The sequence below is a fragment of the Homo sapiens genome, chromosome 10 (assembly GCF_000001405.40).
Source record: "Homo sapiens chromosome 10, GRCh38.p14 Primary Assembly".
Classification (NCBI taxonomy): Eukaryota; Metazoa; Chordata; class Mammalia; order Primates; family Hominidae; genus Homo; species Homo sapiens.
In genome coordinates, this window is record NC_000010.11 from 72533686 (window position 1) to 72558112 (window position 24427).

A 24427-nucleotide genomic window follows, 5' to 3' on the forward strand; every position below is an offset into this window, starting at 1 on the left:
CTTAAAAATCTTCTTAGTAAATGATAGGATATATGTATAGAAGTGTCATAGTTTGCTCACCTTTCCATCAAAGCGTTTTATTATATATTGATCCAGACCCAAGTCTGTAAAAGAAAAGGAAAAAACATTTAGCTACTGATAATAACTCAAGTGAAATTTATAAAATGACAGCTCTTGGTTTTGTTTCCAGTCATTCAGTTAAAAGTACAAAACATTTATTCAAAGGCCACAGGAATGAATATTTTGCCCCACTTTCAGATTTAAAGTGTGAGTGCTAAGAGATACCAACCCTTTTATTTTACATATCAGAAAAGTAAGGCTCTAAGAAGGTAAAAATGTGCAAACCTATTCAACAGTAGAGTCCAGTTAGAACTCTGGACTCCTCCCAAGGTGGTGCTCTTTTCATTATATCAAGGTGCTATATTACTTTTCATTTAGGTAAGGAATATTAGTTTAATCTGAATGCATAATAATTTTTTCTATCAAGTTCAAAGAAAATAATTAAACACCAAAAAAAAAAAAAAAAAACTATTGCAGTACACCTAAACAGACACAAACAGACCATCTTAACATTACCTTTTAAAATTAGGTTAAATTTAAAAATTTACTTGGGAATACCTAGCTTTGGATTCTGTGCACTGTGAAAAATTAAGTGACTATATTCGGTGGCATTGAGGGCAGGGATAGTTTTGTCTTTACACATAGCTTTATCCCCAGCATTTAGAACAGTGCTTGATCAATAAATATCTGTAAAAGAATGAATGAATAAGAAACAGTCCTTGCCTTGAAAAGTCACAATTTAGTTAGAAAGACATACGGATATAATAATTAACATTACAAGGGAGCATACAATTAGTTCAATAAAAGGGTGCTGTGGGAGTTTTGAGGGTGGAGAAATTAGTACTCAGTTACACTTATTTTCTTGCATAATTATTCAGTTATTTTCTTTCAGTTGTCACTAGTTCAGGCCCTTACCTCACTATGCCCACAGTATTACAATCATCAGATTATCATTGCTCCCAGAAAAAGCTTTTTGCATTTCTAATTTAAACATTTGGTTATACATTCTTCTTATCTGAAATGTGCCTCATCTTCCAGAAGCCAGCCCTAAACAAACTGAACCACTGACTGTAAAAGAAACAGATAATTTAAGACACAGAAAGAAATGTTAGAAACAATTTTAATTTGCAACCTGACAGATATTTAAGAGAGTGTAAGTCATAAAGGCTGATATTTATCAGAACAGGCTTCTGATAAAAGAACAGAGAACAAGAAAGAGTTCTAGACAATTAAAACTTTGATTGCCTATCTCCCTCTATTTTTTATTTTATTTTATTTTATTTTATTTTATTTATTTATTTTGAAACAGAGTCTTGCTCTGTCACCCAAGCTGGAGTGCAGTGGCATGATCTTGGCTCACTGCAACCTCCACCTCCTGGGTTCAAGTGATTCTCCTGCCTCGGCCTCCCAAGTAGCTGGGATTACAGGTGTGTGCCACGATACCTGTCTGATTTTTGTATTTTTAGTAAAGATGGGGTTTTGCCAGGTTGGCCAGGCTACTAGGTCAGGTCTAGAACTCCTAACCTCAGGTGATCCACCCGCCTCAGCCTCCCAAAGTGCTGGGATTACAGGCATAAGCCACTGCATCCAGCCCTATTTTTTAATGTACTGTCAAAAGATGAGGATAAGGTAACCTCCCAAACTACTGCCAAAGGACAGCGGGATAGAAAATAGAAAATATAAGATAGAATTATAGAAAACAGAGACTCAATCCAAGAGGTTTAGTATCCTACAGGACCTTTCTCATTCAGAAACAGGGAGAAAATAATCCAAAAAATACTAGCAGAAACTTTCTCATAACTATAGAGAGACAGACTAAAAGACCTTACCAAGTGTTCTAAGCATATTGAACAAAAAAAACTACCCACACTTCAGTGTATCCTTGTGAAATTTCAGAATACCAAGGATAAAAAAATCCTAAAGATTTTCAGGAAAAAATCTTCCTGGTCCCTTACAAAGGCAGGAGAATCAGAATAGAATCAGATGTCTCACAAGTAAAACTTGGTACATCAACTAAGGCAGATGTATGCTTACTAATTGCATCAGCACTGTCCAACAGAAATATAGTGTGAATAACAAATGCAAGTCACATGTGTAATTTAAAATTTTCTAACAGCCATCTTTAAAAAGGTAGAAAGGAAGAAATTCTGTCATTTGAGGCAACATGGATGCAACTGGCTGACATTATGTTAAATGAAATAAGGCAGGAACAGAAAGTTAAACACCGCATGTTCTCATCCCTACGTGGAAGCCAGAAAAAGTCGATCTCATATAAGTAGAAAGTAGAACAGGGTGTACCACAGGCTGGGAAGGATAGGGGAAATGGGAGGGACTAGAAAAGATTTGTTAAAGGATACAAAATTACACCTAGATAGGAAGAACAAGTTCTAGTGTTCTATAGCATTGTAGAGTTAACAACAATATTTATACAGTTTCAAATATCTAGAAGGAAGGCACTGACACAAAGAAATGACAAATGTTTGATGGTGATATGCTAATTACCCTTATCTAATCACTATATAAATTATATGTATCAAAACAGCACTATGTACCCCATAAATATGTACAATTATTATGTCAATTTAAAAATAAGGTTAATTAATTAATTAATTATTTTTTGAGATGGAGTCTCGCTTTGTCCCCCAGGCTGGAGTGCAGTGGCATGATCTCGGCTCACTGCAACCTCCACCTCCTGGGTTCAAGCGATTCTCCTGCCTTAGCCTCCTGAGTAGCTGGGACTACAGGTGCGTGCCACCATGCCCGGCTAATTTTTTTTTTTGTATTTTTAGTAGAGACAGGGTTTCACCGTGTTAGTCAGGATGGTCTTGATCTCCTGACCTCATGATCCGCCCGCCTCAGCCTCCCAAAGTGCTGGGATAAAAGGCGTGAGCCACCGTGCCCAGACAAAAATAACGTTAAAATTTTAAAAGGGCAAAAAGAAACAAGTGAAATTAATTTTAATACTTTATTTAACTGAATATATCCAAATAGTATCATTTTAAGTAGTAATCAAGAGAAAATATTAATGAGATATTTTACATTTTTTAATACTACATTTTCAAAATCGGGGTGTATCTTGTAATTATAATACATCTCAACTCAGACTTGCCACATTTCAAGTGCTCAGTAGCCAAATATGGCTACTGGCTACTGTATTAGACAGCACAGGTTTTAGGTTATCAGGGCAATACCCAGAATAACTCAAAATGTAACTTAAAATTTTAAAGGTGGTTACTTCTGTGACATGAACTGTGAAGATGGAGAAGATGGAACACATTTATGTTTTATATTTTATGCTCTTCATTATATTAAAAAAATGGTGAGGGGGAAGGGGCATGGGAGGACAACCTGGCACTCACTGAGAATTATTGTCATTTTATAAGCAAATACTGACATGAAGTAGGCCAAGACTTTCATTATTTCAAGTTGAAAGAAATGATTATTTCACCTTGTTATGTTTTGATTTATTTACCTGCCAAATGAAGGAGATGGTTGGATTAGATCAGTTCTTAAAATGTTTGGAAGTGGAGTGTGGGGAATGTGGATGGATGAAGTAATTCAAGCTATTGTCCCTAACTACTCCTCTAGAAAATCTAATAGGCCCAATTACTGGGGGCAGGGAGAGCATGGAGAATGAAAGGAGAAAAAATAGCATGTGTAGTTTAAAAACAATACTTAGGTGACTTCCATATGACATTTCCCTTTCAGTTTGCTACCCAAACCTTTTGGTCCCAGCTTAGAAACACCAGACTATAGCTATGTTGTTTTCACTGAGATGTTTCCTATGGTTTTTAAACTTTTATTCAAAGAACTTTCAGTCATTTAATTTAATGCTCATAGTGTGATATAAACACTACCTTTGCCTTTTTATTGATAAGAAAGCCAAGGCTCAGAAGGTTAAATGACTGTTTTTTTATTTTAACTCTAATAATCTTCTAATTATGGCAGTTGCCTCTTTTCTTGAATCCACACCCAAAATACTATAAATATGTGTGTAAAAGTAGAGTATATGTAAAAGTAGAGTATGTGTAAAGGTACACACATACTGTTAAGAATAGTCTCAGTTTAAGCCTCAGAGTGAACATTTAAAAGACTTGTTTAAAGACAATGGCAACTGACTTTGTCAAACTCATTTTGTCAAAAGACACAAGGGCAACTGAATCAAATATGTCATTTCAAGATCTACAAATTAGAATAATAATTAACATTACAAGGGAGCATACAATTAGTTCAATAAAAGGGTGCTGTGGGAGTTCTGAGGGTGGAGAAATTAGTACTCAGTTACACTTATTTTCTTGCATAATTATTCAGTTCTTTTCTTTCAGTTGTCACTAGTTCAGGCCCTTACCTCACTATGCCCACAGTATTACAATAATCAGATTATCAGTTAAAAATAACAGTACAAACTATCAAGGAGAAGACTGAAACATTTGAAAATATCAATATTGACAACTTCTGTGCATTAAAAATCAACACAAACAAAATAAAAAGACAGGCCCCAGACTAGGACAGGAGATCTGCAATGTATATCACAGATTTTAGTGAGAATATATAAACTACTTTTACTAAAAAGGATAATCAAATGGAAAAATGAACAGAGACTATAAACAGGCAATTCATAGAAAAGGCAATGTAAGTAGTCAATAACATGCAGAGATGATAAGCCTCACTTGTCATTAGTGAAATGCAAAATAAAACCAGAAAAATATTTAAAACACTTTAAAGTGTAGAGTTTTTGTGTGTCTGTGATCAAAGTTAAGCTGTTATCAGCTTGAAATAATCTGTTATAATTATGTTTTTTGTAAGCCTCACGGTAGCCACAAAGAAAAATCCTGTAATAGATACTCTAAAAATAAAAGGCAAGGAATTAAAATATACTACCAGAGAAAATAACCACAAAGGAAGACAAAGAAGACAGTAACAAAGGAAAAAAAGGAAGAGAGGGGTTACAAAACAACCAGAAAATGAGGAACAAAATGGCTATAATAAAGTCCTTACATATCAATAATAACAGTGACTATAAATGGTCTAAATTCTCCAATTAAAAAACATAGAATGGCTGAATAAATTTTTTTTAAAAAGACCCAACTATATGATGCCTATAAGAGACTCATTTCACCAGTAAGGACACAAACAGACTGAAAGTAAGTAAAGGGAAAAAGATATTTGGAAATAGAAACCAAAAGAGAGCAGGAGTAGCTATACCCAGATAAAATAGAGTATAAGTCAAAAACTGTAAAAAGAGACAAAGAAGGTATTATTTAGTAATAAAGGAGTCAATTCATTAAGAAGATATGACAATTGTAAATATATATGAACCCAATCTCAGTGCACCTAAATATAAAGCAAATATTAATAGATCTAAACAGAGAGAGAGATTGCAATACAATAATATTAGGGGGCTTCAACATCCCACTTTCAGTAACGGGCAGATCATCTAGATAGAAAATCAATAAAGAAACATCAGATTTAAACTGTACTCTGGACCAAATGGACTTAAGACAGATTTACAGAACATTCCATCCAACTGCTACAGAATACACATTCTTCTCACCTGTACATGAACACTTCTCCAGGACAGATCATATGTTAGCCCACAAAACAAGTCTTAACAAATTTAAGAAGACTGAAACTGTATCAAATATCTTTTCTGACCACAATGATATATAACTAGAAATAAATAACAGGAGGAACTTTGGAAACTTTACAAAGATGTGGAAATCAAGCAATATGCTCCTGAATAATGGGTCAATGAAGAAATTAAAAAGAAAATTTTAAACATTTATTGAGACAAACAAAAATGGAAACGCAATATGTTTTTGCTATGGAATATACCAAAAACAATTCTAAGAGGGAAGTTGATAACAATAAACACTACACTGAAAAAGAAGAAAGCCCTCAAATAAACAACCTAATATTGCATCTTAGGGAACTAGAAAAACAAGAACAAACTCAACTAAATATTAGTAGGAGGAAGGAAATAATAAAGATCAAGCAGATAGAGAGTAGAAAAAGCACAAAGAGACAATAATTTACTTTCATAAGTTTGTTAAAATTTAAATCTGATAATACCAAGTGTTGGCAGCAGTGCAGAGGAAGAAACTCATATATTCTTGGAGAGAAGATAAATTATTCTATCAACTCTGGAAATCAATTTGGCAACGTCTACCAAATGTGAAGAGGAATGTACTCTATGGGCTAGCAAGTCCAGTTCCAGGTATATGCTGAAAATAACTTCTTGGCTGTGCGTGGTGGCTCATGCCTGTAATCCCAGCACTTTGGGAGGCCGAGACAGGTGAATCACCTGAGGTCAGGAGTTCAAGACCAATCTGACCAACAGGGTGAAACCCCATCTCTACTAAAAATACAAAATTAGCTAGGCATGGTGGCGCATGCCTGTAATCCCAGCTACTTGGGAGGCTGAGGCAGGGGAATCACTTGAACCCAGGAGATGGAGGTTGCAGTGAGCCGAGATTGTGCCACTGCACTCCAGCCTGGGCAACCAGAGTGAAACTCCATCTCAAAAAAAAAAAAAAAAAAAGAAAAGAGAAAGAAAATAACTTACTGCAAATATGCACCAGGGCACATATAGGAGAATATTCACTGCAGTATGGTTTGTAATGATTAAAAAAAAAAACTGGCATGGAGCCAGATGTGGTATCTTACACTTATAATCCCAGCAGTTTGGAAGTCTGAGGTGGGAAGATCACTTGAGGCCAAGAGTTTGAGAGCAACCTGGGAAACACAGTGAGACACTTGTCTCTACAAAAAAAAAATTTAATTAGCTTGGTGTGACGGTACACACCTGTAGTCCTAGCTACTCAGGAAGTGAAAGTGGGGGATAACTTGAGCCCAGGAGTTCAAGGTTACATGAACTATGAACATGCCACTGCATTCTAGCCTGGGCAACAGAGCAAGACCCTGTCTCTAAAATAAAACAAAACAAAAAACTGGCATGGTAGATTAGATTACTGATCTCAAATATTTACTTCCTTCCCACTGACCTCTATGGAAAAGCCATTGGGCTTTGTTGTGTAACTTGTTTTAGCCAATGGGATATTAGCAGATGGGACATAAGCATCCTTAAAATGGACTTCTGAGGTTGGCTTTCTTTCTTATATCTTGGCCATCTATAAGAAAAATATATCCTGGATGGGCCAGTGGTCTAAAAAGTTATAAACACATAAAGCAGGCTGACAAATCTGCTGACAAACTTTCAGAGCTATCCTAGCTTAATTAGACAACCTCTAGCCTATCTACAGAGCTCAGCTGAGAGCAGCAGAGAGCACTTCATGGGATCTGCAGATGAAAGTGCCTTTGCAAAGATTATGACAGAAAGAGAAGTCTAGCATGGCTGACTCCATCTTGCTTCTAGTCTCATAGGCTAGCTGTCCTTACTCATTCCCGGGCAAGAGCCCGGGAATTGGAGGAATTTAGACTATAGTTTAACTTGAAAGCAAGAATGCTAATAGTCCCTCCCTAAAACTCCTTGCTCAGCGACCAAAGCAACCTTTGTAAAACTAGTAAAAGGCCACAAGATTAGGATTATGGAAGAGGCCTGAATTCCATTAAAATGTAGGCTTAGTTTCTCTAATCCCTTACAACTCAGGTGGCATGTGCCCAGAGGTCACAAGACTTGTGACTTCCCCAACTGCTTCTATAAATAGCATCACTATTATAGAATCTAAGATTGATCTTTTGAGATATTTTTCAGACTTTTGCATTCTGGCAACTGAATGACCCCACCCAGACCCATGACTCATGACTGAACCTGTCCTGTGGCCCAAACATAGAGGCAGCCTCAGTGCATGAGGACTGTTTTCCACACCCCTGTGATTTCATCCTCAACCAATCTGCAGCACCCATTCCCTAGTCCCCTGCCCACCAAACTATCCATAAAAACCCTAGCTTCTCAGTCCTTAGGGAGGCTGACTTTATGAATAATAAACTCCTGTCCTTCTACTTGGCTGGCCTTGCATTAATTAAACTCTCTTTACTGCAATACAGCTGTATCAGTTAATCAGCTCTATCTGTGCAGTGGGCAACAAGAACTTGTCAGGCAATTACAGAGAAGCATGAGCTAAATAAATGTTTGTTATGCCACTGACATTTTCTGGTTGGTTGTTACATAGCAATAACTGACTAATAAATCATATACTGGCATATTTGTATAAATGTATACAAATAATATCCACAACTTATAGCAGTGAAAATAAAAGAACGGCTACCTGTTCTTTACATAAAAGTAAGGGAAACTTATAAAACTTATACAAAAGTAAGGGAAATGTAGTAATCATGCTGCAGTAATAAATATAATCATCCCCTAGGGAAAGACAATGAATATACATGATGTTATAGTCTTCAACAAAAATGATAAACACCAAATTAATAACAGTGGTTATCTCTAATAAGAATGGGAGTGAAATGGGATTGCAGATAACTCTTTTTATGGACACTGAAATTTTAATTTCATGTCACTTTCAAGTTTCACAAAGCTGCTTCTTGTGATTTTTTTTCACCCATTTAAAAAATGTAAAAACCATTCTCTGCTCATGGGCCATACAGAAATAGGCAGTTGGCTGTAGATGGCCAATCCCTGCTCTGTACTAAGCAGCACTACAGAGGATTAAAAACAAAAGGAGTGAGCAGGATATTATCTTGACTTTTTCACAGGACTCATGACAGGGGTGCCTTGTTTGCTTAGCCTGCCCCTGTCTACCTGTTGCGGGAGGGAGTGTGCAAGCAAACAAGTGCAGGAACCAGAGCAAGCAAGTGCAGGAACCAGCCAACTGCTTTTGGGTGCCAGCAGGAGCAAACGCCGTACGGGCCACGCAGCAGCATCTGGATGGGGGTGCCTGCAATTCCTGAAGCCCCAGAGGGTGGTTACAGTGCTCCTTTAGCTCTGCCATCCACAGATGGCTTAAGTGTTAACAGCTCAGCGGGCCCTCTGCCTCATTATGTGGGACAGCTGCCCTCCGCCAGCAAGGGCAAAGGGCCAGTGTGACAGCCTTTTTTCGGTATCTGCATTTGTTGGCTCCCAAGCTCCTGTCTGGTGTCCAGGAAAATTGAGGTCGCACGAACAAATTGAAAGATGGTGAATGCAGAGGATTTTACTGAACAATGAAAGTGGCTCTCAGCAGGAAGGCGAGCTGGAAAAGGGATGGGATGGGCAGGTAATCTTCCTCTCAAGTCCAGCTGTCTCTGGCTGGACTCTTCACCAAAAAGTCAAGCCATCAAGCTCTCGCTTGAAGTCAAGTCACTTCTCTCCAATGTTCAGCTGCTTCTCTGACTGAGTCTGGGGTCTTTATAGGCACAGGACGGGGGTGGGCCATGGGTAGTTTAGGAAAGGCAACATTTGAGCAGGCCACTGGAATAGAAGTTCTCACTTTGGGCTGCAGGTTTCAGGCTTTTTGGCTTGAAGGTGGGGTTTTGTCAGGGACCTGCCCTGTCTGCCTAGAATTTTTCTGCCTCTTGTTGCTATCAGTAGAACACGAGGACCTTTACTGAAGGAACTTATCTTGTTTGGAAAAAAACATTAGTGCAAAAATGTTTTTAAAATACATTCCATGTATATAACCATGTGAAAAATTATTAACCAAATTAAAAGTGCTCTAAGGGGCCAGGCATGGCTCACACCTATAATAGGCTATAGGGCCTATAGGCTCACACCTATAATCCTGGCACTTTGGGAGGCCCAGAAAGAGGATCACGTGAGCCCAGGAGTTCCAGATCAGCCTGGGCAACATAGCGAGACCCCATCTCAATCAATCAAATCAATCCATCAATCAATAAAGTACTGTATGTAAGATTATTATTAAGGATACTTAGGGACGAACGTGGTGGCTCACGCCTGTAATCCCAGTCCTTTGGGAGGCTGAGGTGGGCAGATCACGAGGTCAGGAGATCGAGACCATCCTGGCTAACACGGTGAAACCCCATCTCTACCAAAAATACAAAAAATTGGCTGGGCATGGTGGCAGGCGCCTGTAGTCCCAGCTGGAGGCTGAGGCAAGAGAATGGCATGAACCCGGGAGGCAGAGCTTGCAGTGAGCTGAGATCGCACCAGTGCACTCCAGCCTGGGTGACATAGCGAGACCCTGTCTCAAAAAAAAAAAAGGATACTTAGGGTAAGGGAGGAGACCACTCTTCATATTGTCTTATGCTGACCACCCCTCATATTGTCTTATGCCTAATTTCTGCCTCCAAAGAAAGAAGAAGTAAAAACTAAAAGGCAGAAATGAAATCCACAGGCAGACAGCTCGGCGCTGTGCCCTGGGCCTGGTAGTTAAAGATCAACCCCTGACCTAAACGGTTATGTTATCTATAGATTCCAGGCATTGTATGGAAAAGCACTGTGAAAATCCCTGTCCTGTTCTGTTCTGTTCTGTTCTGATTACCGGTGCATGCAGCCCCCAGTCACGTACCCGCTGCTTGCTCAATTGATCATGACCCTCTCACACAGACCCCCTTAGAGTTGTAAGCCCTTAAAAGGGACAGGAATTGCTCACTCAGGGAGCTCGGTTTTTGGAGACGTGAGTCTTGCCGAAGCTCCCGGCCGAATAAAGCTCTTCCTTCTTTAACCCGGTGTCTGAGGGGTTTTGTCTGCGGCCTGTCCTGCTACAAGGGGTCATCCTAGAGATAATATGGAGTCCAGGAGAAGTAAATCACAATATGATCTGTGTTTCCCTCTTTTACACCCTTTTCATCTCCAATGAAGATGAAATCACATCAAGATAATAAGGTCAGCCAGTTGGATATGGTGGAAAGAAAATAGAGATCCTCTTTGCAATAGGCTATGCTTTGCTCTAAAGAAAGCTCATGTTTTTCTATATAGAACTTTAAAAATTCTCCCCATGCCACTGTTTCCTCAAATAATTGGCCAGCTATGCAGAGCTGGTTACTGCAATAGCAAGCACCACTCAAAGCCCAGAGCCTGAAGCAACTATCTATCTCATTATACCTAAGGAGGGCAATGACATTCAGACTTCATAGAGAGGGAGATGGGACATATTCAAATCGTACAGAATATTTTTTTCCTTTTAATGTCTGTCCTACTCAAGTATGATTACTCCAAACTTTCTTGACATTTGGTACAGAAGAATTCTTATTCATCTTGCACTCTAAAGTTCATCTGCTCCCCTATTCATTTTAAAACTGCTTAATTTTAGGGCTTCATGTAGTCTGTGCTTCATGATTATTTTTGAACTGTTCTAAAAGTAAAACTCACAAATTTAGATCTGTTGGGTATCCTGGGATACAGTATGTGTGAAAAATACAACAAAATAAAGTTGAAATATGAGCTACTGGCTAGAGTCCAGCCATTTCTGATAGAAATTCAAACTACAAAAAATCTACAGCCTCATTTTTTTCCTTATCTCAACCCATATAGGAATAATATATCTTTTACTTCTGCTGCATCAACATTTCTGGAAATTCCTGTTCATGAGCAAATGAAAACGAAGCCAAATTTCCCACTGAATCTCATTTCAATATATCAGACTTTCCTCATGATTACTGTTGATGAAAAAAACAAACTCCATAAAATATTTGAAGAGATTATTCTGAGCCAAATGTGAGGACCATAACCAGTGACACGGCCTCAGGAGGTCCAGAGAATATATACCAAAGGTGGTTTGGTTACAACTTGGTTTTACGTATTTTAGGAAGATATAAGACATCAGTTAACACATGTAAGGTATACACTGGTTTGGTCCAGAAAGGCAGGACAATCTGAAGCAGGGAAAGGGCTTACAGGCAGATTCAAAGATTTTCTGACTAGCAATTGGTTGAAAGAGTTAAATTATTATGTAAGATCTGGAGTCAACAGAAAGGAGTGGGTTAAGATAGGGGTTGGGGAGAACCAAGGTTCTTATTATGTAAATAAAGTCTCATAGGTGGCTGCCCTTAGGGACAAAAGATGGCAAATAATTTCCTACTCAAGCCTCTAAAAGGTGTTAGACTCTCAGCTATCTCCTCAGGATCAGACAAAGACCAGAAAAAGGGAAGGCGATTCTCTACAGAATGTAAATTTCCCCCAGAAGAGACAGGTTTGCAGGGCCATTTCAAAATGTGTCAAAGAAACATATTTTGCAGTAAAATACTTTGATTTCTTTCAGGGCCTGCTCTCTGTCATGTGATGCTATACTAGTCAGGCTGGAATGTGGTATCTTCTTGCTACAAACAGTCTGTTTTGTCAATCTTAAATATCTGTTTTAATGTTAGTGCTAGTTAGTTAAGCCTGAGTTCCAACAAAGAGTATAATGAGGCATGTCCAAACCCCCTTCCCAACATGGCCTGAACCAGTTTCTCATGTATCTTTGGAATCCCTTTGGCTAAGGGGAGGGGTCCATTCAATCACCTGCCTAGGCCTCCCAGAGTGCTGGTGCACTTTTCTTGTCTTAACTGAACTTCACTTATACCATTTTTTCCTTTGTCTGAGCAAATGATGACAGAGTGACATCAATGACTAAAGTTTCGGTCAATCTCTCCATTGAGATGACCAAAAGAGGGGAATTGTTAAATTAAGTTTAGACTAAAGCTGCCTCCTTATATATTTTAAGTTCAGCCTAAAGCTTCCTCTGTACATAGTGAACTGTAACCTAACTGCGTATGTGTAACATACTCTTGTGCCAATCATCAAGTTGTAGCCAATTATTCAAATGATGTTCAAATAAGGGACACTCCAAGCTGTAACAAATCTGGCCGCTTCTGTATCTTACTTCCATTTTCTGTCCATCACTTACCTTTTTCTGTCCATAAATCTTCCACCATGTGGCTACACTGGAGCCTCTCTGAACCTATTCTGATTTGGGGACTGCCTAATTTGCCAATTACTCTTTGCTCAATTAAACTCAGTTAAATTTATCTAAAGTTTTTCTCTTAACGCAAACAAGATTTTATCTACATGCAAGCTTTCTTTACTTTCTTCCTTCAATATCACAAAACAAGGTGCTGAAGCTAATTTAAAGGGATCTAAATTTATTATTATTACTATTATTGAGACAGGGTCTCACACTGTTGCCCAGGCTGGAGTACAGTGGCATGACCACAGCCCACTGTAACCTCAAACTCCTGGGTTCAAGTGATCCCTCCACCTCAGCCTCCCAAGTAGCTGAGACTACAGGCACAAGCCACCACGCTCGTCTAATTTTTTTTTTTTTTTTTGAGATGGAGTCTCGCTCTGTCGCCCAGGCTGGACTGCAGTGGTGCAATCTCAGCTCACTGCAAGCTCCACCTCCTGGGTTCACGCCAGTCTCCTGCCTCAGCCTCCCGAGTAGCTGGGACTACAGGCGCTCGCCACCATGTCCAGCTAATTTTTTTTGTATTTTTAGTACAGACGAGGTTTCACCATGTTAGCCAGGATGGTCTCGATCTCCTGACCTCGTGATCTGTCCATGTCGGCCTCCCAAAGTGCTGGGATTACAGGTGTGAGCCACCACGCCCGGCCTCTGCTAATTTTTTTACTTTTATTTTTATAGAGACAGGGTCTCGCTATGTTACTCAAGCTGGTTTTGAACTCCTGGCCTCAAGCGGTCCTCCTGCCATAGCCTCCCAAAGTGCTAGGATTGCAGGCTTGAGCCACAGTACCCAGCCAATGCTCTAAATTAAAAGCTCAATGCAATTAATGAGAAGTTTTATATACCTTTCATTTCTTTCTAATTATAAAAGATTATTTAAGAGGGCAGGACTTTTTGTCCATTTTATTAATTACTGTATTTCTTGCATCTAGAATGTTCTCTAACTCATCACTATCAATCAATACATGTTGAATGAATATATACACATATGTATATATATATATATATAAAGTCTATTAGAAAATAAAGAAACGTACAAAGAAGAATAAAATGATTTCTGATAATTTCAACATTCACAGAGTTAATACTTTGGTATATTCATTTTTAAGTCACTTTCTATGTATTTTATATATGGGTGAAGCACAAAGGATAGAGAAACATGTTAAACAACACCTTATGGATGCAATCAGTAAAATCCAGAATGTGGGAAATTCTATAATACAAATGACCTACATTCTTCCACAAATAAATGGTGTCTAGTTTGGTTTCCTTAAAAGCAAGGTACCAGTGTGGAAGGACTAAGAAAAGTGAAACAGGTCAGCAGAAAAAGCCAATTCAAGGGTATGTTATTAAGTTGACTACCACTCTAGACAACCAGAGCTCAACTCCCCTTAGCCCATCTGAGAAACCATGTAGTCTGTATATCAGAATTGATCATCCAAGACAATGGAGAAGAGGGTATCCACCAATTCTCAGCAGTAAGTGTTAATGCCTTTATATCTCCAAATGTGTGCATGTGCCAACATGGTTGAGTATGTTCCTACAGGTGTCCCATGCTATAGCAGCAGAGATGCTCTATAGGAGAAAGCAACAGATACACAACATAGCTGAGGTTTCATCCTGTCAGGCTGCAACACTGTACAACTAACTGCTGCAGCAGCAACCTGAGCAAAAAGGTGGGCTGAGAAATGTGAGACAAGGCATAAAATATGTCTCACATAAATGGCAATAAAAAAAATGAAAGCGAAAAAAACAGTAAAGACTGAAGAGACATATCAATCAAATGCAGTGTAGAGGTTGATTTAAACAAACCAACTGTAACAGTTATTTTTTAGATAGGAAAATTTGAACAGTGCCTGGATATTTGCTATTAAGGAATAACTGCTGTTTTTAATTGCAATATTTAAAAAGTATTATTGTTTTTAAAGTTCTTATATTTTAGAGACACATGCAAAAGTATTTACAGGTTGCACTACATGTCTTGAATTGGCTTTAAAACAATCTGGGGTGAGGAAAGGAAGTAAGAGAGGTTATAGATGAAACAAGATTGGCCATGTGTTATAATTGTTGAAGCTAAGTGATGTAAACATATGGGTTGATTATATTTTCTACTTTTCATGTTTGAAAATTTCCACAACCAAAAATTGTATTTCTATCTCTCTCTCTCTTTCTGAGACAGAGTCTCCCTCTGTCACCCAGGCTAGAGTGCAGTGGCACAATCTTGGCTCACTGCAACCTCCGCCTCCTGGGTTCAAGTGATTCTCCTGCCTCAGCCTCCTGAGTAGCTGGGATTACAGGTGTGCACCACCACACCCAGCTAATTTTTGTATTTTTATTAGAGACAGGGTTTTGCCATGTTGGCCAGGCTGGTCTCTAATGCCTAACCTCAAGAGATCTGCCTGCCTCAGCCTCCCAAAGTGCTGGGATTACAGACATGAGCTACCGCACCTGGCCAACAACCAAAAATTTTAAATAGCAAATTTCATACATTTTGGAGGGGTGATGGTTCTATATAGTTTTTATTTGACCTAGAGATATGTGAATTTAATAATGTGGGCAAAATATTACGAACTTTCTGGTTAGAAAATGACATAAATGTTTTTGGTTCCCTAAGCTCACTTTGTTGTTTCATGTGTCTGTTTTTTTTGGTTTTTTTTTTTTTTTTTGAAACAGGGTCTGGCTCTATTGTCCAGGCTGGGGTGCAGTGGTGTCATCTTGGCACACTGTAACATCCACCTCCCAGGCTCAAGCCATCCTCCCACCTCCGCCTCCCAAGTAGCTGGGACTACAGGCACGCACCACCGTGCCTGGCTAATTTTTTTATTTTTTGTAGAGATGGGGTTTCGCCATGTTGCCCAGGCTGGTCCTCAACTCCTGAGCTCAAATAATCTGTCTGCATCAGCTTCCCAAAGTGTTGGGATTAGAGGCATGAGCCACAGCGCCTGGCCCATCTGTTTGTATTTTTGACCACACAATTTACTCACTCTGAATGATGCCTTTTCTTTCTCCTCTATATAATGAGCTATTATTCATTTTTCAAAACCCAACTCAAATAGCACTCCATTTAGAATGTCTTCCTATATACTCTCTAAAGAATTGGTTTCTTAGCCGGGTGCAGTGGGTCACGCCTGTAATCTCATCACTTTGGGAGGCTGAGGCAGGTGGATCACCTGAGGTCAGGGGTGTGAGATCAGCCTGGCCAACATGGCCAGACCCCATCTCTACTAAAAAATACAAAATTAGCTGGGCATGGTGGCACATGCCTGTAATGCCAGCTACTCAGGAGGCAAGGCTGGAGAATCGCTTGAACCCAGGAGGTGGAGATTGCAGTGAGCTGAGATTGCGCCATTGTATTCCAGCCTGGGTGACAAGAATGAAACTCCATCTCAAAAAAAAAAAAAAAGAGAATTAGTTTCTTCATATCCTACTCCTATACCATATACAGTCATGTGCTGCTTAATGACGTTTTGGTCAACAAAGGACTGAATATACAGTGGCGGTCCCATAAGATTATAATTGAGCTAAAAATTCCTATTGCCTAGTGACTTTGTACCAATAATAACATCATAGTACAACTATTTTATTTTTAAAATAAATTTAGTGTAGTCTAAGTATACAACGTTTATAAAATCTACAGGTGCACTATTTTCCATCTTTTATACCATATTTTTACTATATCTTTTCTATGTTTAGATATGTTTGGATATACAATTACTTACCATTGTCTTACAATTGCCTACTGTATTCAGTACAGTAACATGCCATACAGGTTTATAGTCTAGGAACAATAGGCTATACTATATAGTCTAGATGTGTAGTAGGTTATACCATCTAGATTTGCATTAAGTACTCCATGATGTTTGCACAATAATGAAATCACCTAAGGACACATTACTCAGAACATATCCTCATCATTAAGTGGCCCGTGACGGTACAATCAATTCTTGTTATTTGTGGTTATGTTCTATACAGTCACTGTGGACAATGAATTAGTGAATATCAACCTATTGCTCTTGGGGAAATTCAGGGTTAAGCTCCTTTGAGACTATGGTCACAACATTTTCATAACCAATCAATATATAACTTTGTTTTATGTGTGTGAAAGTTAGAATATTGATTAGATCATTCTTCTTTTTAAACATAGGTGTTTATAACTATAAATTTCCCTCTGAGCACTGCTTTTGTGGTACTGCATAAGTTTTGGGAGGTTCTGTATTCCTTTTCATTCAACTGAAAGCATTTTCTAATTTCCTTTGTGATTATATATTTGATCCCACTTTAAAAGTGTGTTAATTTCATACTTTATAAGTTTTCTAGTTTTCCTCACTAAAGAGTGACTTGATAGCAGTTGTATGTGTAATGTATTGCCTTCGAGAACATTCTAATTACAGGTAGTGAATCTCAACCAGAGGGGGACAATCTCCTCAACCTCTTACCCTGGTTGCAGATTGCCACATTAGACTGCAGGCTTCTCTTTTGTACTCCTAAAGCCTAGCACAATGCCTGATATTCAATAGACACACTGTTCATATCATCATTACAAGGACCTGTAAGATTTCAGTACTATGTAGAAAGAGACAAAGTAGCCTATAACAAAATAAATATCACAGTCTTATATTTCACTTTAGCAACTTACGTTCTGGTTGTTTTTCATTGGGTGTTATGGATCGCACAAAATCTTCTGGTGTCATAAACACTTCTGCTTCACCAGGCTCACTGATGACTTTCAAGGTGGCAAAATATCGGAAGATTTTGTCTGGCGTGGAGTAGGCTCGAATCCTATTCTCATATTCCATCACCTAAAGTTAGAAATTTAGAAAGTGTTACTATATTAAGCAATGCTCATATGCTCATATATTCTTATCATCACTGCTCATCAATTCTCATATATTTTCCATCCTATTTTGGGAAGAAATTCTATCATTTTTTTCTATACTTAGTTTTTTAATATTACAAATGAATACCAAAAATTGTTAATATTCTTGGAATTTTTTATTTCTTGCAATATACCATTCATATTCCAGTTGAGGCAATGCTCATGTAACTTTTGTTTAAAACTTTTTTTGAAGAATTTTCTAATGTTTTAAATCACTGAAGGCTAGCAAAATTTTTAAATGTCATAAGAAATTTCAGAAGATTTCAGTAATAGGGTACAATGCCATATATATGCCAACCTATAGCTTCTTAAATACCAAGTCTTTTTTTCTATTTTTTACAATCCTTCCCAGAAGAATTTTTTTAACATTCTCTTTTTTAAAAATTATCTTTATTTTTGTAGTGAGAGGGTCTCACCACATTGTCCAGGCTGGCCTCAAACTCCTGGGCTCAAATGATCCTTCCGCCATGGCCTCCAAAAGTGCTGGGATTACAGGAAGTAGCCATTGCACCTGGCCTAAATACCAAGTTTTTATAAAGGGATTGATTTTACAGTTTCTACTTCTATGTAATTTCCTAATTCCTAAAACAAAACAGACTTTAGATTTCATAGGTTTCAAAAGCTAGTAGGTCTTCAAAGTCAAAGTACATTCAATGATGGCATAGAAAAATAAAATTACGTATCATGGAAACTCAATTATTAACAGGTCTGAAGCAACAGATTTTTGATTATAAAATTAAACAAACTGCTAGAGATCCTTTACGTATGGCATATTTAGAAAGCAAAGTTGGGAATCACACAAGCAAATGTTGGAATAGCAACAAAATCAAGTATGGCATATATTTAACTAAAAGGCTGTCTAGTTAATATGAAAGTTCATTCCCTTATCTGGTATACAAGCCCCCATTCTGCACATGGAACATACAAAATACTACACCAGCCACATAATATTTTAGTGAAAAAAATTTATCTCATACCTGAATTTTACAGTTGAAATAGTCAACAATAAATATCTTATAAATAACTGGCTAGAAAATGTGTCAAGGCAATAAAACCTATAATCTCATCAGTTCCATGTCCATAAAGCAATTTACCAATGTTAAGAAAAACTTTATTGATGTTTTATTTTATTTTATTTATTTATTTATTTTTTTGAGATGGAGTTTTGTTCTTGTTGCCCAGGCTGGAGTGCAATGCTGTGATCTCGGCTCACTGCAACCTTCGCCTCCGGGTTCAATCAATTCTCCTGCCTCAGCCTCCCAAGTAGCTTGGATTACAGGTGCCGGCCATCACGCCCGGCTAATGTTTTGTATTTTTACTAGAGATGGTTTCACCATGTTAGCCAGGCTGGTCTCGAACGCCTGACCTCAAGTGATCCACCTGCCTGGGCCTCCCAAAGTGCTGGGATTACAGGCGTGAGCCACCACGCCCAGCCTTTATTGATATTTTAAATTTGCCACATTAACATAGAAATTACTATAACTGTCAGTCCTGGCTAGATGTCACTTTGAAGTCACTGGCAGCAGCTGTTTAACAAGGCTCTTAATTCCACTACCACATGTGCTTTTAGCAACTGAGAAAAGACTGCAAATTTGTGACCACATATGACAGGAATTTTTTCAATGCTAACTTGTAATACAATCTGAATAGATTTCACAGGAGACTTTATCAAAAGATTGAGCATGTGGCAAACACAGTAAAGAGTTTTGCAACCTCTCAGCAGCCTTGAGACATAGCTACAAGTTTTGAAGGCATTTTATATTACACAACAACTGTCTGCTGGGAAATAATGGCTACAGAAGAAATACCTTTCTTCTTTTTTTTTTTTTTTTTGAGACAGAGTCTCGCTCTGTTGCCCAGGCTGGAGTGCACTGGCACAATCTTGGCTCACTGCAAGCTCTACCTCCCGGGTTCACGCCATTCTCCTGCCTCAGCCTCCCTAGTAGCTGGGACTACAGGTGCCCGCCACCACGCCCGGCTAATTTTTTGTATTTTTAGTAGAGGTGGGGTTTCACCGTGTTAGCCAGGATGGTCTTGATCTCCAGACCTCATGATCCGCCTGCCTTGGCCTCCCAAAGTGCTGGGATTACAGGCGTGAGCCACTGCGCCCAGCCAGAAATACCTTTCTTTAGGCCATCTGTATTTTTATTCTTCCTCTGAACAACAACAACAAAAAAGAAACCATTCGGAATGTTTGGGGTATATGAGCAGCAGTTACTAGCAATGAGGACTTTGTGACTTTGTGAATAAAAAAGTTAAGTCAATCATATACATAAAGGTAAAAAAATAAGAACTTAAAAATCAAGAATTTAAGACAAAATCAGATTCGTTTTTGAAATAATAGGTCAAAGAAAGTAACAGACTTAGTATACTCCCACATTGGTAGAATTTAGTATAGACCTATTATATGGTATATATTTTGCTTTTTTTCCACTTAGCATTGTACCTTAGCCTGGTTAAAAGGAACAACAAACTATCATGTAAAGAGTTCAGAATATAGCATCCAAGATAACAAAGGCTTGGAAGCAGAGATAAATAGAAATCTGTTGAAGGATTTTGGGATGTTTAGCCTGAGAAAAGATATACTAAGATAATTACGATGGTTCATTCAGTCATATACCTTATAAGACTTTCTTGAGCATTATTGAGACATCTGTCTTCAATAACACTGCTAGACTTAATTGGATCAAAATTTGGGCATTATTTTTCCTATATGAACTGCATCAAGGAGTAGCCAAAGAGAATTTATAACCAAATAGCAGATGAGGGACAGTGTCTGTTTATAAAATATTCCAATTAATAAATGAAAAAGATTTGATAAAATTAGAATATCATTTTGCAACTTCAATGAATTAACAGATATAGGCAATGAACATCAATAGCTGTTAATACTGCAAAAGAAAAGCAACTAGACATTAGGTGTCTTATGATAAAATAACATAATACCACCACTAATCTTGCTGCAGGGATCAAACCTGAGTCTGATCGAGCCTCAGAATCCAGATGCCAATATTTAGGTAATATAGAGAAAAGAGAAACACGCTGAATTGCACTGAGAATAAGCATCAGTAAAACCTAGGCTCTAGGAAACTTTATGGGCTAAATGGCCTGCATTCTGTCACTTGTAGATTAAGAGGCTTTAAAGATATATCACCAAACAAAATAAGCAAAATTAAACTATATGTCTAGGAATAAACATTGGAGTAAAAAACTATGAAGAACAAAAAGAAATGGTTACTACAAAAATCATTTTAGGTTTCCTATATCTGTATAAAACAACAGTAAAACAATTATTTTTTTCAAATACAGACATTGGCCAGGCGCCGTGGCTCATGCCTGTAATCCCAGCACTTTGGGAAGCCAAGGCGGGTGGATCACTTGAGGTCAGGAGTTCGAGACCAGCCTGGCCAACATGGTGAAACCCCATCTCTACTAAAAATACAAAAATTAGGTAGTTGTGGTGGTACACACCTGTAGTCCCAGCTACTGGGGAGGCTGAGGCAGGAGAATCTCTTGAGCCTGGGAGGCAGAGGTTGCAGTGAGCCAAGATCGTGCCACTGCACTCCAGCCTGGGTGATAGAGAGAGACTCTATCTCAAAACAAAACAAAACATACAAAAAAACCCAAAACAAACAAACAAAAAACAGACATTCTATGTGACGTTGAACAATAAAACTAGACTCGTGAGGAAGAACTCTGAATAGTAAGAGTATTTCAAAATGAAGCAAAAAATTCCCCAGCAAGGGGAAGATGAAGAAGAACATGAAGATCATTATCATAATTATTTCCCCTAAGAAAGAGGGGCTATGAGGATCATTTTAAAATCTTGTGTTTACAAAATGCTATCATCTTTTAGTTTACTGTTACTTAACTTCACCAAACAAAACAAAAAAGCAGACCAACCAATAAAAAGTAAGCCCCAGCTTGAGACTTGAGTTTTAGAAAGGAAAAGTACATTGTTATAACTATAAAAAAAAAACTTAAGGAAGAAAAATGTTAATTTTTTCTGTGATTTGACAACTTTAAGTGATATGGACAGTGGTGAACATCACCACTCCTCCATTTTTAACGGCAGAAGCAAGGGGAAAAGAATATAAAAAGAATGAGTCTACCCAAGTTGGTAGTACTGACTGTGATGAGTACCTCACTCACTCAAACAATGCTTTAAAACTACTCCTGGGCTTGCTCTTTGAATGACACCACACACAGTTAATAGATGGTTCAAGAGGAGTTACACTGCTCCCATCACCAACCACATTCCTGCAAAGGATTACCTATCTTTTGACCATGGATGGAAGATTAGATGAGATGAGCAACTGATGCCTCTACTTGCATGGTAGTCCATATCACCACCACAGGCCTCTGTTTCAAAGGCCTATATTTAATTGTCTGTTTCAGTTGGGTTACAAATTAAATAAGAGGAGAGGATAGGGGAAGAATGGGCTCTTTCTATTGTTAAAAGGGACATATTTTCCCTTGGTCCTGATACCAGTTTTATGGCTTAATTTTGGTAGAATGCCCAAGGAAAACCATGGATATAATGTCTTGAGCCCAAGATAATGCAAGTGACAGTAAATCCCTGTGGACCCTGATGTCAGAAATAATGCATAGGCATGGGATACAGACTGAGGCCACACCTGGAAAAAGTAGCAGGCAGAAAGGTTTTGTAAATGTATCATGTGGCCGGCACACTCTCTCTCAAGAGGTGACATAACCTAATCTGTAACCTAACAGTTGTCCTCCATTTTCGAGACTCCCTCTCCTTTTGCTAGTCAATTTTTGGCCATCCATAATAATGAGCATCTGTCATAGGATGATCTCTTAAGGTTCTATGCAATTCCAAGTTCTATGACACTAGTCTCATAAAGTAAATTAATTTTTGGCAGTAATAGTAATAATATACATAAATTCCAATATTAACATTCTTTTTTTTTCTTTTGAGACAGAGTTTCACTCTTGTTGCCCAGGCTGCAGTATAATGGCACAATCTCAGCTCACTGCAACCTCCGCCTCCCAGGTTCAAGTGATTCTCATGCCTCAGCCACCCAAGTAGCTAGGATTACAGGCATGTGCTACCATGCCCAGCTAATTTTGTATTTTTAGTAGAGATGGGATTTCACAGGTTGGTCAGGCTGGTCTCAAACTCCTGAGCTCAGGTGATCCACCCACCTCGGCCTCCCATAGTGCTGGGATTACACGTGTGAGCCACTGCATCCAGCCCCATAGTAACGTTCTTAACTGTTGGTCAAAATAAGTCCCCAAATTAATAAATAATATATTTTTTCATTTGCTGTATCTTATTGATGGTAAAAGCATATCTGTAAAAATTTCTTCTCCAACATATTTTGCCCATGTTGAAAAAATCTGGCCAGGTGGGTAGCTCTCGCCTGTAATCCCAGCACTTTGGGAGGCAAGGTAGGTGGATCACCTGAGGTCAGGAGTTCGAGACCAGCCTGGCCAAAATGGTGAAACCCAGTATCTACTAAAAATACAAAAATTAGCCAGGCGTAGTGTCGGGTGTCTGTAATTCCAGCTACTTGGGTGGCTGAGGCAGGGAGAATCACTTGAACCCAGGAGGCGGAGGATGCAGTGAGCAGAGATCACGCCACTGCACTCTAGCCTGGGTGACAGAGCAAGACTTCATCCCAAAAAAAAAAGAAAAAGAAAAATCTCTATGGCCTTGATTCTTGGCCTTTCTTTTAAAACAAGCATATTAGTTAGGGTAGGTTAAAATGCTATTACAAATACACCTCAAAATACACTATCTCCAATAAAATGAAATTGTCTTTCTCACTAAGATACAACCCACAGTGCACCTTCCTAGTTGACAGGAATTGATAAGTTCCTTCATGTACTCAAGTTCAAGGCAGCCAACATATATGGCTTCCAAGGTCAGTTCAGTTCATCACCATTCCAGCTCTCAGGAAAAGGGGAAAGCGCATTGAAAAACCCTGTGGGGGCTTTAGGAGCCAGGCCTAGACATGGTTCAAATTACTCCCATTCACTGGACAACTAGCAATCTCCACCACAGTGGATACAGTGAAAAATCAAGGCTCAAGATCACATTTAGAAATCTTAAGATCACTGAAATGACACAATAACTGACCAAGGTTAAACCATGAACAAAGTCTTGTGACCAGAAGACATAATGTTAAAAGAATGCAGTATAAGGAGCAAGAGTTTTTACGTCAGACAGACTTAAATTTTATTCCTGCCTCTATGAGTAACTAGTTGTATGATTTTAGGCAAGCTACTAAACTCCTTCACACAATAAACTATATATGTATATAAGTGAATGTCTACATACACACTCACACAAATATATATATACATACATATATAGATGCATGCATATAAATATATACTATGGCACACAGAAAATGCTCAATAGTTTCCTTCCATTTTTCTATTCATTCTGTTGTTTGTAAATAAGTAAACTGAGTCGAGTGTCCAGCAGCAGACTACTTTCTTTCGCATCTTGTTTGGCATATATAGCACATTTTACATCTTTTAATATTCGTGTTTTCCTATCAATCAGTTTAAAATTACAACAAATTGAACTAAATAATTTGGCTTTTTAAAATGAAGATGCTACTAAACATAGTCTCAATCAAACAAATAGCTCAGAAACAACAATGCAGGCAAAGCTATCAGAAATATAAAAATAACAAACCATATCTTTACTGAGCAAGAG

General features: G+C 38.3%; 1 protein-coding gene across 22 annotated transcripts in view; it reads right to left on the reverse strand.

The window, feature by feature from the left end:
* Positions 1–24427, reverse strand: part of MICU1 (mitochondrial calcium uptake 1) — a 258740-nt gene that overhangs the window by 166346 nt on the left and 67967 nt on the right. For all 22 annotated transcript variants that reach the window (NR_199811.1, NR_199809.1, NR_199810.1 and 19 more), the window contains 2 exons: positions 17494–17656; positions 61–104 (listed from right to left, as the gene is read on the reverse strand). Coding sequence is in view for 16 of the 22 variants with exons in the window: in NM_001441226.1 (NP_001428155.1) it covers positions 61–104; positions 17494–17656 (207 nt within the window). In the remaining 6 variants the exon portion in view is untranslated. The remainder of the gene's footprint in view (positions 1–60; positions 105–17493; positions 17657–24427) is intronic.